The sequence below is a fragment of the Homo sapiens genome, chromosome 11 (genome assembly GCF_000001405.40).
Source record: "Homo sapiens chromosome 11, GRCh38.p14 Primary Assembly".
Classification (NCBI taxonomy): Eukaryota; Metazoa; Chordata; class Mammalia; order Primates; family Hominidae; genus Homo; species Homo sapiens.
In genome coordinates, this window is record NC_000011.10 from 6,776,694 (window position 1) to 6,791,571 (window position 14,878).

The 14,878-nt window shown below is 36.7% G+C and overlaps 1 protein-coding gene across 1 annotated transcript; it reads left to right on the forward strand.

Annotated features, from left to right (window-relative positions):
* Positions 1-6,326: 6,326 nt before the first annotated feature.
* OR2AG1 (olfactory receptor family 2 subfamily AG member 1) lies at positions 6,327-14,865 on the forward strand. Its single transcript, NM_001004489.3, has 2 exons — positions 6,327-6,778; positions 8,325-14,865. Exon 2 carries the CDS (start codon positions 8,345-8,347, stop codon positions 9,293-9,295), a length of 951 nt encoding a protein of 316 aa, NP_001004489.1. The 5' UTR covers positions 6,327-6,778; positions 8,325-8,344; the 3' UTR covers positions 9,296-14,865.
* Positions 14,866-14,878: the final 13 nt, after the last annotated feature.

Sequence of the window (14,878 nt, forward strand, 5' to 3'; positions counted from 1 at the left end):
TATCTTTAATTAATTTATTATTTTATGTTGTGGCTATTGCGGATGGGATCATTTCCTTAATTTCCTTTTCAGATAGTTCATTTTTAGTCTATAGAAATGCAAGTGCTTTTTATACATTGATTTTGTATCTTGCAACCTTACTGAATTTTTTAGTTCTAACAGTTTTTTTTAGTATTTTGGGTTTTTTATATAAATGAGCATTTACAAATAGAGAAAATTTACTTTTTTCTTTCCAACTTGAATGCCTATTTCTTTCTTTTGCCTGATTGCCCTGGCCAGGACTTCCAGTACTATGTTGAATACAAATGGCAAGAGTGGGCATGCTTGTCTTTTTCCTGATACTGGAGGAAAGATTTCAACTTTTCTCCACTAAGTATGATGTCAGATGTGGGCTTGTAATATATGGCCTTTATTATGTTGAGGTACATTCTTTCAATATGTAATTTGTTGAGTTTTTCTCATGAAAAGATGTTGAATTTTATAAAATGTCTTCTCTGCATATATCAAGATGATCATACAGTTTTTGTCCTCTAGCCTATAAATGTGGTGTATTATATCATTTATTTGCATATATTAAGTCATCCTTGCATCACTGGGATAAATCCCAGTTGATCATGGTGAATGATCCTTTTAATAGGCTGTTGAATTTTGTTTGCTGGTATTTGGTTGAGGAGTCTTGCATCTATGCTTATCAGAGATATTGGCCTGTAATTTTCTTTTCTTGTATTGTTCTTCTCTGGTGTTGGTATCAGGGTAATACTGGCCTTGTAAAATGAGCTGGGAAGTACACTCTCCTTTTAATTTTTTTTGAAAGATTTTGAGAAAGATCAGCATTAGTTCTTTGTTAAATGTTTCAGTCTTGGTAGGTTGTATGTGTCTAGGAAAAACTTCATTTTAATGATTATATAATATTTTATCAGATGAGTTCTCTAGCATATATGTAGGCATTTGCTGACATTTAGTTTTACTCCTCCAAATATTCTTATATGAGGGTCTAATTTTATCTTAGATCAAATTTCTAAAAGTGAAATTACTGTGATAAAGATCAAGACTCTATTTAAAATTCTTATTACAAAGAGCCAAATTGGTTTTCAGAAAGTTAGAAACACTTTGTTTTCTGGCTAGCATTATGTGAGAATGCCCGCCTTACTATGTTATTTCTAATTCTGTCTTATCTTTGCTAATTTATTAAATACTTCAAGGAAATAAAACAGATGTTTTAATTTACATTATTTCGTTTTTTATAATGATGTTGTGCAGATCTTTATAGATGAAAGTCACAAGTAATTTAACACTTATGTATGTGGCAATTTTTTTCAGTTTTTTAATTTAGCTACATGGTAGGATTTGTTAGATAGGGAAGTATCACAATATTTATGTAGTTATAAAAATCTATATTATTCTTTAAAATTTTCAGAGAATTTTACTCTTAAAATTTTCATTCTTATTTCAGAAAATACTTACATATCTTTCTTTTACATATGCTTAAAAATTTTGTTAATGATATTTAACTTTTTATTTCATCTCCAAATTATTTAGCTGTATTATGTATGTTGAGACTTTATTATGTTTTCAAATATTTTCTTGTTAGCATTTTTAGTAACCTTTAAAAATATATTATTATTTATTGTAATTGCTTGACCATATACTGACTTCTTATACATATAGTAATGAAGAGTTTTTCTGAGCTAGCTCTCTAGTTCCAGTAGTCTCTCAAGGCTCTCCTTTTCTGTTTCTCATCACTGACCTTTCATTATGTTTTATTACCTGTTATTTCTGATAAGCTTTTCATTCATCTGCCAAATGTCAAAAAAATCCCATTATTATAATCATTGTGGTTATATTTAACTCATAAATTAATTTGGGAATGTTGGCTCTTTGCAATATTCAGTCTTCTGCACCAAGAACACAGTGTCTTGCACAGCCCTAATACAACCTCTTTCTTATTCTCTGAAAATACCATTTTATACCTTCACTCTCAGCTTCTGAAATTGCCTCATACATCAATGGAAAACCAGAAGCAATCATACAGGACTTCCTCATTTTCCACTACCAATTTACCATACATCTTCACATAGCTTTTCATCTTTGAAAATGCCTATAAGAGGCCAAATCCTCCACTAATGCTCTTCATATATTATTCTCTTAATACCCAAAGAAATTGGTCTTGCAATTACCTGATTCTCTTCTACATCATCTCTCTACTGGAAAATTACTATAGGTTACACACATGCTCCAATATCTTCTATCTAAGGGAAGTCTTCTGTCTAAATTACATTTCCCTTACAGTTCCCCCAATTCTCACAGCAAATCACCTTGAAAGATGTGTCTAAACCCAAAGTTTCCACATCCTTTTCTACCATCTATGGCTCATGCCACTGTAATCAGTCTTCTCTGCCCTCAGCACCACATTACTGCAATTGTGCTTGTCAGATTCAGCAATAATGTTCCTACACCAAACTCAGTATCACTTCATATATATATATATATATATATATATATATATATATATATATATATATATATTTTTTTTTTTTTTTTTTTTTTTTTTTATTATACTTTAAGTTCTAGGGTACATGTGCACAACGTGCAGGTTTGTTACATATGTATACATGTGCCATGTTGGTGTGCTGCACCCATTAACTCGTCATTTACATTAGGTATATCTCTTAATGCTATCCCTCCCCACTCACCCCACCCCACAACAGGCCCCGGTGTGTGATGTTCCCCTTCCTGTGTCCCAGTGTTCTCATTGTTCAATTCCCGCCTATGAGTGAGAACATGCGGTGTTTGGTTTTTTGTCCTTGCGATAGTTTGCTGAGAATGATGGTTTCCAGCTTCAGAATGATCCAATTCTGTCAAACGTGGCTGAATGTGTGAGCAGGATGAAGATAAAGAAGTGATACCAAACTCAGTATCACTTCTTTATCTTCATCCTGCTCACACATTCAGCCACGTTTGACAGAATTGGATCATTCTCTCCTTTTGGGAGCATCATTTTTTACTCTCAGGCCACTACAACCAACAGGTTTTCTAAGTACTCCACTGGATTCAGTCTTTACTTGGCCAACTTCTTCTCTTCAACGTGACATCTAAATATTGAAGTGGCTTGTGGCTCCATTCAAGCCTCCTTTCCTTCTCATTCAATATTCTCTGGCAATTTCATCATCCCATAGGTTTAAATACATATCAACTCCCAAGGACATGACTTCCTCTGAAGCACAAACTCATTTAGCTAATTGCTGATGTGACCTTTCTGCCTGGATGGCTAGTAAGCACTTCACTTTTAATCCAAAACTGAGTGTTTGATTCAGTCTCCTAAAATTTGTTAATACCACAATTTTTCTTGTTCTAAAAAACAGCAGGCTGGGCGCGGTGGCTCACGACTGTAATCCCAGCACTTTGGGAGGCTGAGGCGGGCGGACCACGAGGTCAGGAGTTCGAGACCAGCCTGGTCAACATAGTGAAACCCCGTCTCTACCAAAAATATAAAAGAAAAATTAGCCAGGTGTGGTGGCACGCACCTGTAGTCCCAGCTACTCAGGAGGCTGAGGTGGGAGAATCGGTTGAACCTGCAAGGCGGAGGTTGCAGTGAGCTGAGACCATTCCATTGCACTCCAGTCTGGATGACAGAGTGAGACTCCATCTCAAAAAAAAAAAAAAAAAAAAAGTTCTGAAGATGGATGGTGGTGATGGCAACACAACAATATGAGTGTACTTAATGCTGTTGAACTGTACACCTTAAAAATGGTTAAGGTGGCCCACAGATAAAAGGATGGTTCAGCATACACATCAAACAAGGTGATACATCATATCAACAGAATGAAGATTTCTTGTAATCTTATATATTTCAACAAGATAGACATGTTCTAACATTAACTATTCTTCAAATGCCTTTTGAATCAGATTTACTATCTCGCAAACTTTCTTATTAAGTTAACATATATATCATTCTATATTTGTGGGCATCATATTTGTAGCTTTCCAAAAATTATATTTTGACACAAAGACTTTATGACTCAAAGTTTATGACTCACGTGTCTGACAAAGAAAATGATTTTTTTTATTTTTTATAAACTGTTAAGTGGGAATTTTCATATCATTACCTATGATGACAAATGAGTATAAAAGGGCTTAGAGATTAAAAGCTATATTCCATAGTAAATAAAATAAATCTTTATAATTTACATATCTCAAAAAATTTTTAAGCAATTTTGTAAGAACATTTTCAATGTTACCATGTAGACAGCACTTAATTGTGATAATGTTTTCAGTCTCCAGCTCTAAGCATGTATGCATGTATGTGTTTTCTTAGATGACTTTCTGTTTGGAATTGTACCTCCTTCTTTATTGGCATGAATAATCCTGTTTCCTTTAAAAAACTCTTATTTTTTCTTTGCATGTTAATTGGGAAGACTTGAAATGTAAGGCCTCAGGCAATATTTCATCCATTTTGAGTTAAAATTTAAAAAGCCTATTCTTTACAGCTTAAAATAATGCAAAATGGAAATAAAATTGGGAATGCAAAATGGTTCAGTCAATATGGAAAAGTCTGGCAAAGTTTTATAAACCTAGACATACACTTACCACATAACCAATCAGTTTTACTCTGAGGTATTTTCCCAAGTGAATAGACAATTTATATTCATGTCAAAACCTGTACATGAAAGTTTATGATGGCTTTTTCATAATCAACAAAATAGGAAACAACAGAAATGCCCTTCAACTGGTGAATGGATAAACAAACGATGATAGATCCATACAATTGGGTACTATTCAGTATTAAATGAGAAAGGACTGCTAGTAGATACAAGAATATGGATGAATCTAAAACATATTATTCTAAGTGAATGAAGCTAGGCTCAAAACGTATGATGTCATTTATATGACATTTTGGAAAAGACAAAATAATAGTGACAGTAAACAGATCAGACAGTTGGCAGGGGCTTGGGAGGGGGAGGGGAGGAATACAAACAGGCACCTGAGAATTCTTGTGGCTGATGAAACTTCTGTGTCTTGATTTTGGTGGTGGTCTCAAGACTATATACATTTGTCAAAACTTGTAAAACTGTATACTAAAAAAGGTGAATTTTACTGTATGTAGATTGCACTTTAATGAATAATGAAAAAAGGAAATTATAGTGTTAAATAAACGAGGATGAAGCTTTTAATATTCTGCTTCTACAGACTTCAAGTACCCATAGGAAAATTCCACTCATGTTATTATTTTTGTGAAGAATTTTAGTTTTACTCTTTTAAAAATATAAACATATTTTATTATTCGTGAATTAAACTAGCCAATTCACTTATTGAATCAATTTCTAAGTTCATTATTTCTCCTTGTATACATTTTCTAGGTGCCACTTTTCTCCTTGCTGAAATTATTTTATTGGGAGTGTTTGGGGATAAATACTTTCCAATGTCATTTTTACTTTGTCCTAATTCATTAATAATGGCTCAGCTGTGCCTGGAATCATAGGTGTGCAGTTAAGTTTCCTCAGCACTTTTGAATATATTTCTCCCTTGTCCTATTGCTGCTATTGATAGTCCACTATTATCTAGTTGTCTTTACTTAGTGGGTAATCTGTCTTTTATTTCTTGGAGAATATAAAATGTTTTCATTGATATTGATACTCTTCAAGTTCAGTACTGTATGAATTCCTTTTTGTTTTCGTGCCCAATACTTAGAAAACTGTCTATTTACTCTTTAAGCATCACTGGTGGAAGAACACAGTAACACCAAGACATATAAGCCATACTGGATTGCCAAAGGTCAATGAGGGGAAGACCTCACATTTACAGACTCCTCAGGGAGCAGTCATATTGAATAGGAGATAGTCCAGGGTAAAAGGATCATAAAGAAGGAAGCAGCATGCCACATAAGTAAGGAAAGCCACCTTATTTTCTGGGACAGAGGGCTGGCCACATAAGGAGACTTTGTGTCCTGCTCTATTTAGTTAATTTAGAAACAAGCTATCAGTGCCTCCCTTGTGGAATAGAAACATAGAGCCTAGGAGCTTATTTAGTGAAAGAAGAATATAGGAGTACCAGGCCAGGAAACACACCCATGAGGATTAATTGTCATCCTGATCTTGGGCCAGCATTTCCAGGGAAGCCATTTGAGTTGAGAGGATAAGTCCCTCGGAACATAGGGGTAAAATAGAGGGAAGAGATCATGGATCAAAAGACAGGGCAGCCTCTCTCAGGACAAGGCTCTGGCTCACCTTTGGCTCCAGGGAGAGTGAGGCAGGGGACAACAGAATCTCCTTTGGGCAGCTCTTTCAATATCGACTCAATATCTACTTCCTCCAGGACCCTGCAGCTTTTATCTTTGCTCCCTGACCCCAGCAAGAATGAAGGAAAGTCTGAGTATCTGAACCCAAGAACTCAGTCTGGTAACTGCTCTAGGGCTAGAGGGGCTCTCTCCCTGGCAACCTGTATGAAAGTAGTTGCTACTAGTTCTTCACAGGCGTGAGAACAAGAAAGTAATCTTCTTCCTATATAGGAAACTACCCAAATTCTGTATTAGCTGTCTGCCTGCATCCACTGCTATCTCTAGGGTAGACCTGCAGATAAGTGGAAGGAATAGAAGGGCCCTGACATCTGATCTCACTAGTACTTTTCAGACACTTAACCCAACTTGGCAATATTAAACCAACTGAACACTGCTGAAGAAAGCCACGTCCTTTCTTCCCATTTCGACTGGAACATCCTTGAACTTCAAACAATCCCTAGGAAAGTCTGAGTGGTCGGACAGCTAAGCTTCTCACAACCTGAGGTAAGGACTTTGTATTTATTTCAGGGGAAGGTGTGCCTCTAGGTAAGCTGAGTAGGAAAAATGGAGTCCAAAGCATACCCTAAGAACTTGAACTACTCGGTCTGCCAGATTCCCTAGTATAATGTTTGGGCTTCATAGCCTGTTCCAATTTGTCTATTCTTAATTTTCTGAACCCGAAAAGAGAACCAATAAGGACTGTGCTACAGCCCAGGCATGGGTATCTGCTTCCTGGTGGAAATCGCAATACTTGTCTTTAGACCCTGTGTGCTCTGCTGGCTCCCGGTAACGCATTTTTGCATCTATCAGATGATGAATATCCTAAAGGGCCATCTAAAAAGTGATGATATGTCCATTGCATGTTCTTATACCTTTTAACCATTAAGGTACTAATGGCCCCATAAGAGGCTAGTGGAAACCAGTGAAATATGAAAACATAGATGCCATATATGGGGAAATGATTGACAAAGGATGCTTCACTTCAAAATCTTTAACTGCATGTTCACAGTTGGCTTTATCTATCCAGTTTCACAATGCACATAGACTCCTGTCAATCTTAGGCCCTTGTCCTTCTCCTTGGCTTCTCCATGGGATTGGGTACCACAATGCCAACAGCTGCTTTCTGGAAAAGCAGTTCCTCCCTATTCCTGTGGTCCTTCTACCAAGTTTAAAGGTTCTGGCCCTGCAGAAGGGAGAGTGAACATCTGGTCAAAGGCAGGAGAGGGGATAGAATTATTGAGCATAATTACAGCATATAATAGATGCTCTCTTGCTCCCTTTCACCATTTCTCCCAAACACAAACATCCTGATCTTCCTAGGAAAGCCCTCATATGTTATATTTCAGAGCCCTTCCAAGCTCACATCTTAATATAACCTGTTTTAAATAAACACATTTGTATTGACCCTAAAGTATTTAGCTCTAAATGCAACATCTTCTCAAACACAACATTCTCTTGTCTCAGGCAGTCCATTATCCCTTCTCTCTCAAGCTTCTGTAGAACGTGGGGCTGGCCAAGAGAGAAGTAACTAAGGTGGACAAGTTTTAGCCTACTAATGAGGCTTTCATCTACTGCCTTGAGTACTGCAAACAAATGTGGCTGTAAGTTCTACGGAAAAAGAAGTGAAAGTGCTTTATTGAAAACCAGTCTCTGTACCTGTTTGGAATTTCATATCAAAACAAGTCTATGAAGAAAACTAACTGGATAGTTACAAGGATAATCAAGGATTTGTGTGGCAGAATATTTCTTTAATCTTAAGAGAAAGATAATTTTTTGCTTTTGGAAAGATACATGTTCAGGTTTAATGTCCTAAATAAGATTTTATGTGTGATCTCTTAATGTTTAGTTATTACTGTGATGTCTGTTCTCCATTTAGATGGAACTTTTATCAAAATACAGTGAGAAGTCAGACATTCAGAAATCGAGAGGCAAAGTCAGTTATCAGTGGAAAGGGTAACATCTCAGTGGATTCATGTCCTAAGAAGCCTCTGATATTTCAAAACTAGAGTTCATCTTAGCAAAAATTCATGAAGTATCCATCTTGTTCTAGGTGATGAAAGAAACCACAGCATGGAGCTCTGGAACTTCACCTTGGGAAGTGGCTTCATTTTGGTGGGGATTCTGAATGACAGTGGGTCTCCTGAACTGCTCTGTGCTACAATTACAATCCTATACTTGTTGGCCCTGATCAGCAATGGCCTACTGCTCCTGGCTATCACCATGGAAGCCCGGCTCCACATGCCCATGTACCTCCTGCTTGGGCAGCTCTCTCTCATGGACCTCCTGTTCACATCTGTTGTCACTCCCAAGGCCCTTGCGGACTTTCTGCGCAGAGAAAACACCATCTCCTTTGGAGGCTGTGCCCTTCAGATGTTCCTGGCACTGACAATGGGTGGTGCTGAGGACCTCCTACTGGCCTTCATGGCCTATGACAGGTATGTGGCCATTTGTCATCCTCTGACATACATGACCCTCATGAGCTCAAGAGCCTGCTGGCTCATGGTGGCCACGTCCTGGATCCTGGCATCCCTAAGTGCCCTAATATATACCGTGTATACCATGCACTATCCCTTCTGCAGGGCCCAGGAGATCAGGCATCTTCTCTGTGAGATCCCACACTTGCTGAAGGTGGCCTGTGCTGATACCTCCAGATATGAGCTCATGGTATATGTGATGGGTGTGACCTTCCTGATTCCCTCTCTTGCTGCTATACTGGCCTCCTATACACAAATTCTACTCACTGTGCTCCATATGCCATCAAATGAGGGGAGGAAGAAAGCCCTTGTCACCTGCTCTTCCCACCTGACTGTGGTTGGGATGTTCTATGGAGCTGCCACATTCATGTATGTCTTGCCCAGTTCCTTCCACAGCACCAGACAAGACAACATCATCTCTGTTTTCTACACAATTGTCACTCCAGCCCTGAATCCACTCATCTACAGCCTGAGGAATAAGGAGGTCATGCGGGCCTTGAGGAGGGTCCTGGGAAAATACATGCTGCCAGCACACTCCACGCTCTAGGGAAGGATCATGGCTAGCTTCCAGAATTCCTTCTCCTGAGAGTCAAAAGATTCATGTTATGAATCAAATACTAATGGTAAAACCAATACAGTGCAGAGTATAGCATTTAATAGAAAAGTGAAGGAATGTAACTGGATTTGTCAAATGCTCTTTAAATCTTCTCTCCATGAAGTAATTTATAGGGCATGATTTACACTATCTAAAATTACTCTTCACTCTATTTAAAATTTAATCTTTATTTTCCCAGGAAGGTATTTAGTTAAATGGGTTCCCACCTTGGGACATGACCCCTAACCTTCGAAGTTTATATTGGATCAGGGAAAGGAAAAGAACCAGAGAAAGGAAAGTTTCAAGTGGGTGGTGTAAGTAAAACCCAGACATCAAAGGGGGAGATGTCTTGAGATTTGCACAAATTTAGACCAACTGACCTTATTAAAAGGTTATATAGACTTCTTGTCTAATGCCCCAACTGGTAGTAGTTTGCTTGTATTTGCATTGTACTTGCTCTTTTTTTTCTTTCTAAACATCAGCCATATGAAACACTCTAACAAGTGTCTTTGCTTGTTTGTTTTTGTTTGTTGGTTTTTGACATGGAGATACTTTATAGTTCCTAAAATGCAATTATTAATAAAATGAAGAAAATAGGAGGTGAAGGTAGTCCATAAGCAAGGTTCATGATAAACAACTTTGCTTATTTCTTGCTAATACAAAAACAAACAAGCAAAATAGTGATTTTCCATTATCCAAGGCTATCTTGTAACATTCCAACCATTGCAGTGTTCACATGCATGGTGGGTGTGGATATTTAAGTCAGTGTGTCTGTGTGTTTGTGCTAAAGATGGAGAGGACAACATAATGCATTTTCTCACCAGCTTAATTATGCTGCACTACTATTAGTTTGTCTATAAGTCTGAGAATATTGAAAACAAAAGATGTGAACAAAAGCTGTGAGTTGCATTTTGAAGATTAAAAATAATATAAAATGATATGGCTAATTACATGACACTCTTTTGGGGGATATTGCTGTTTGAAGATTCGCTAACGCTTTTTAAATCAATTCCTATAGTAATTTAAAACAGTAACTGAGACTAGGTTCAGAAAGTATAGTAGTAGTATATCATGTTTGGAAGGCAAGGCTGAGTAGAGATAATTCCTACACGTATTTATATGAATTTCCTTCCATTTTAATACAGGCATGCATTTTACTGAGTTGATGTGTGTGTGTAAAACAGATTTTTTTAACCTACAAGCATATAGTTATTTTTCCTATATTATATAGTGGCAGTATACAGCACTGCAAAGAGTCTAGGGTCAGCTATCAGCGTACAGAAGTTAGAATTGAATACACCCCACTTATTTCTATAACTTTTAGCATATTACTTAACCTGTTTGTGCCCAAGTCTGCAAGTTTGCAAAGTGTAAGTTGACATTAACAATAAGACCTACTTTGTAGTGTTGTGAGGATGAAACAAGTTAGTAAATATAAATATAAAGACATCTTTATACTTGTAATCAGCATGTGTCGTATAATAAGTATTTAATAAATTTAACACCTACAGAATAAATGGCCCTGAAAATACTGTTGAGTGATGGTATAATGTTACATCATATGGGTGTTTTGTAACATTATTAGCTATTTTATCATTGTTTTACCTTTAACATTGTCGTGTGTGTGTGTGTGTGTGTGTGTGTGTGTATGTCTCTGTGTGTGTGTGTATGTGTGTGTGAAATCAATAATGTCAATCTCTTGGATGTGTGACTTTTTTTCTATAGAAAATTCCTATGAGTGAAATTACTCGAACCAAGGTTAAAAATCTGTTTAATACTCTTCATATGAAAAGACAAATTGTTTTCTTAAAATGTTAAATATTTTGCATTCTTACCAGCAACATATAAGTGTACTTAGCCCACTACATATTTTTTCATGTTAAATTTTACATATAAGTAGTCTTCACTAATTGATAAGGTATAAAATTTGCCTATTTTAATTTGCTTAAGTAACTTGTCCACAGTTTTCTTATTGATTTGTTGAAGTTTTTTTACAGGTTAGGAACACGGAGACTTTGTTATATTTGTGGTAATAACTTCTTTTCAATTTGTTATTTGGCTTCTAATATCTGCATGGCAGAGATTTTTAGAAAGAGAAATATTTAAAATATTTGTATAGTGAAGGATATCTTTTATTTTTTTTTCCAGTGATTTTTACTGTTAGGATATAATTTTCTATTCTCATTGACGTCTTTGCTGTGCATCATACAGTTCAATTTAGGTAACAATTTATATATTTTATGTGTTTTGTCACTCTATATGTTTAACTTTAACAATAAATGTCAAACTTATCTTTACATGTGAAAATGATGATATTTCAACTTTTGTCAAAGGTACCATTTTTCTAGCAATATTTTAAAGTAATCCTTTCATTTTCTATTATTTTACTACCTTCATCAGACATGTTCTAGTAAGCTATATTTTGGCTAACTCTTCAGTTCTAGCTTCTTTCTCCTCTTTACTCTTTTGGAAGACATTTGATTCTATCATTCACATCTTAATAGCTCACTTGTAATTTGATTGTGAATATATTTAACTGATAAATTAATTTGTAATTTGAGCATTTTTTACAATACTCAGCCTTGCCTTCCTGAACATGGTGCATGACTATACTTCTGGAACCTAGTCTCAGTCAGTTTTAAAATGAACATTCCACACCATCATTCTAAGCTGATGCCTTGCCTCACACTTCACTAGAACAGAAGCAGTTGGCTACAAAGCCCTCTTCAAATCCTCCACATATCTGTGCCTGCGTGTACACTTCCTGTTTTCCCTCATTATAACTGCTTGAACCCGGGAGGCAGAGACTGCAGTGAGCCGAGATTGCACCACTGCACTCCAGCCTGGGCAACAGAGTGAGATTCTGTCACAAAATAAATAAATAAATAAATAAATAAATAAATAAATAAATAAATAAAGTAAGAAGTCTTTGCATGACTCCAATCCCCCTCAGTAACTGTAGCATTATTTTCAGCTTCTCTTCACAGGAAAAAAAAAAAATACAAAGGGAACACTTATGCCCATTTTCTCCTCTGCTGATCTTCTATTCGCATCTTAACACACTTTCAATCAAGCTCTGGTCTCTTTCTATGGACCTGTTCTTTGTGAAAATTATCATTAATGTGCTAAATAAAATGTCTACCTCCATATTCTCCTTCATCAACCTTTCAGCAACATTGATATAATTGACCTCACCCTTCTGTTGGGAAATTTTTCTTCTTTTGGCTTCCAGACACCACACAACTCTGGCTTGCTTCTTTAATCCCTAACCTTTTTTGCCTTATTGGATTCGTTTTTCTTTCTGAATGTTTCCACATTCAGATGATACAAACATGGACTTCCCTGTCTTCTCAATCAAGAATCTCTTCCTGAGTAATTTCATCCACTTACATAGATTTAAGTTCTGTCCATATGCTTTTGAGTCCCAAAGACCTCACTACTTGTATAATCCACAGACTCAAAAAATTAGCCGGGTGTGATGGTGGATGCCTGTAATTCCAGCTACACAGGAGGCTGAGGCAGGAGAATCGCTTGAACCTGGGAGGAGGAGGTTGCAGTGAGGCAAGATCGCGCCATTGCACTCCAGCTTGGGCAACAAGAGCGAAACCCCATCTCAGAAAACAAACAAACAAACAAACAAAAAAACAAAAAACAACGAGATATCACGTCTTGCCTGTTAGTATTATTTTTGAAAACCAAAAAAGTCAAAGCAAAACAAGTGTTGGTAGGTATGGGGAGAAAATGGAACCTGTGTACACAATTCATGGGAATGTAAAATGGTACAGCCATTATGGAAAACAGTATGGAGGTCTAAAGATTCAAACTATTACTACTGTATGATCCAAGATTCCCACTTCTGACTATATATCCAAAGGTAATTAAATCGCTGTTTCCAAGACATATTTGCACTCCATGTTTATTGCAGCATGATTCACAATAGACAAAATATTGGAAACAACCTAAGAGTCTATCAACAGACCAATGGATAAAGAAAATGTGGTCTATTTATACAATAGAATATTATTTACCCTTAAAAGGGAAGGACACTCTGTCATTTGCAATGAAATAGACCAACCTGGAGGACATTATGCTATGTGGAATAAGCCCAACACAGAAATACAAATGCTGTCTAATTTTGCTTAATGCGGAAGCTAGAAAAGAGTCTAACTCAGTAATAGAGAGTACAGTGGTGTTTGCCAAGGGTTTGGGGTGACTGTGGGAGGAAATGAAAAATATTAGTCAACAGATACAAACTTTTATTTTTAAGATGAATAATTTCTGAGGTTCCAACATATAGCATGGTGACTGAAGTTAATAAAAATGTGTACTTGAAATTTGCTGCAGAAGTAGATGTCACGTGTTCTCACAACACACACGCACAGAGGGTAAGTATGTAAGGTGATTGATATGTTGCTCTGTTAATTAGCTTGCATGTGGTCATCATTTCACAGGGTATACGTATATCAAATCATCACACTGTATACCTTAAATACATTCTAGTCATATTTGTCAACCATATCTCAATAAAGTTGGAAAAAAAAGAAAACTATGGGCAAATTATACATAATAATAAACATAAAAAATCATTTGAAAACATTTCTAAAGCTGCTTTGTCTTCATTATAGGAATGTAAAATATTACCTCTGCTGGAATATGAACTACACCCAGGATTTGAATAGTACAAATTAGATGAGACGACTTGCAGTGTAGAGCCCTCTAGGCTTTCAGCCTAGAACAGGAAGGAACGCAGAGTAATGACAGCAAACAGTGAAGCTATAGGATAATAATTCCTCCTCAGTGACAAGAGGCCCCACCACTGCTTTGGACTCCAGGAAGCACTCAGACATTAACATCTGTGAAGTGTGCCCTGCATGCTAAGAAAAGGGTGAACTGACAGACCCTTCTGTCCATCAAGTCATCCACAGCCTAGTTATTTCTGTCTCTGCTGCTAATTGTGCCAAAAGTAACCATAAAATCTGGAGTCAACTGCTAGAAGTTTTGCAAGAACAAAGGCCAAGGAGATGCACTTGTGTCTTGGTGAGTAGCCAAAGTTAGCTGCAGGGAGCTGAAGCAAGGGACTGAAAAAATGAGAAGTCTTAGAAAATGTTCTCCAGTCCTTGAGGATCTGAAGGCCTATGTGTGACTGATATTTGGTGGAGAAGAACGGACCTAGCTCTTTCCCCACTCCAACCAACCAAAATCTTTGTTGAAAGGCATATTGTGTATTGTCACTAATTCTGGGAAGGCGGGGGCCATTGGTTTTCATGAAGTGTGACTATGAAACATGAAAATCACACAAGGCAATCTTGATCTGAGGAATGCTTCTAAGAGAAAATGAATACACCTGCCCTATAGGCCCGCTTCTCTACCAAGCACACGGAGATGTCCACTTATTCTTGCTGGCACCAAATGGTGATATTCAAAAGAGCTGGCATAATTTTTTAGAGTTGCTAAGTATATAAAGCACTAACTTTATCAATTTTGTTAATTATACTTCACTTCATCTCTGTCTTATCAATTAGCTAAATAAAAACA

Bases quoted from the DNA above. Each gene is read 5' to 3' on its own strand.
- OR2AG1 (NM_001004489.3), top strand. From the start codon at position 8,345: ATGGAGCTCTGGAACTTCACCTTGGGAAGTGGCTTCATTTTGGTGGGG.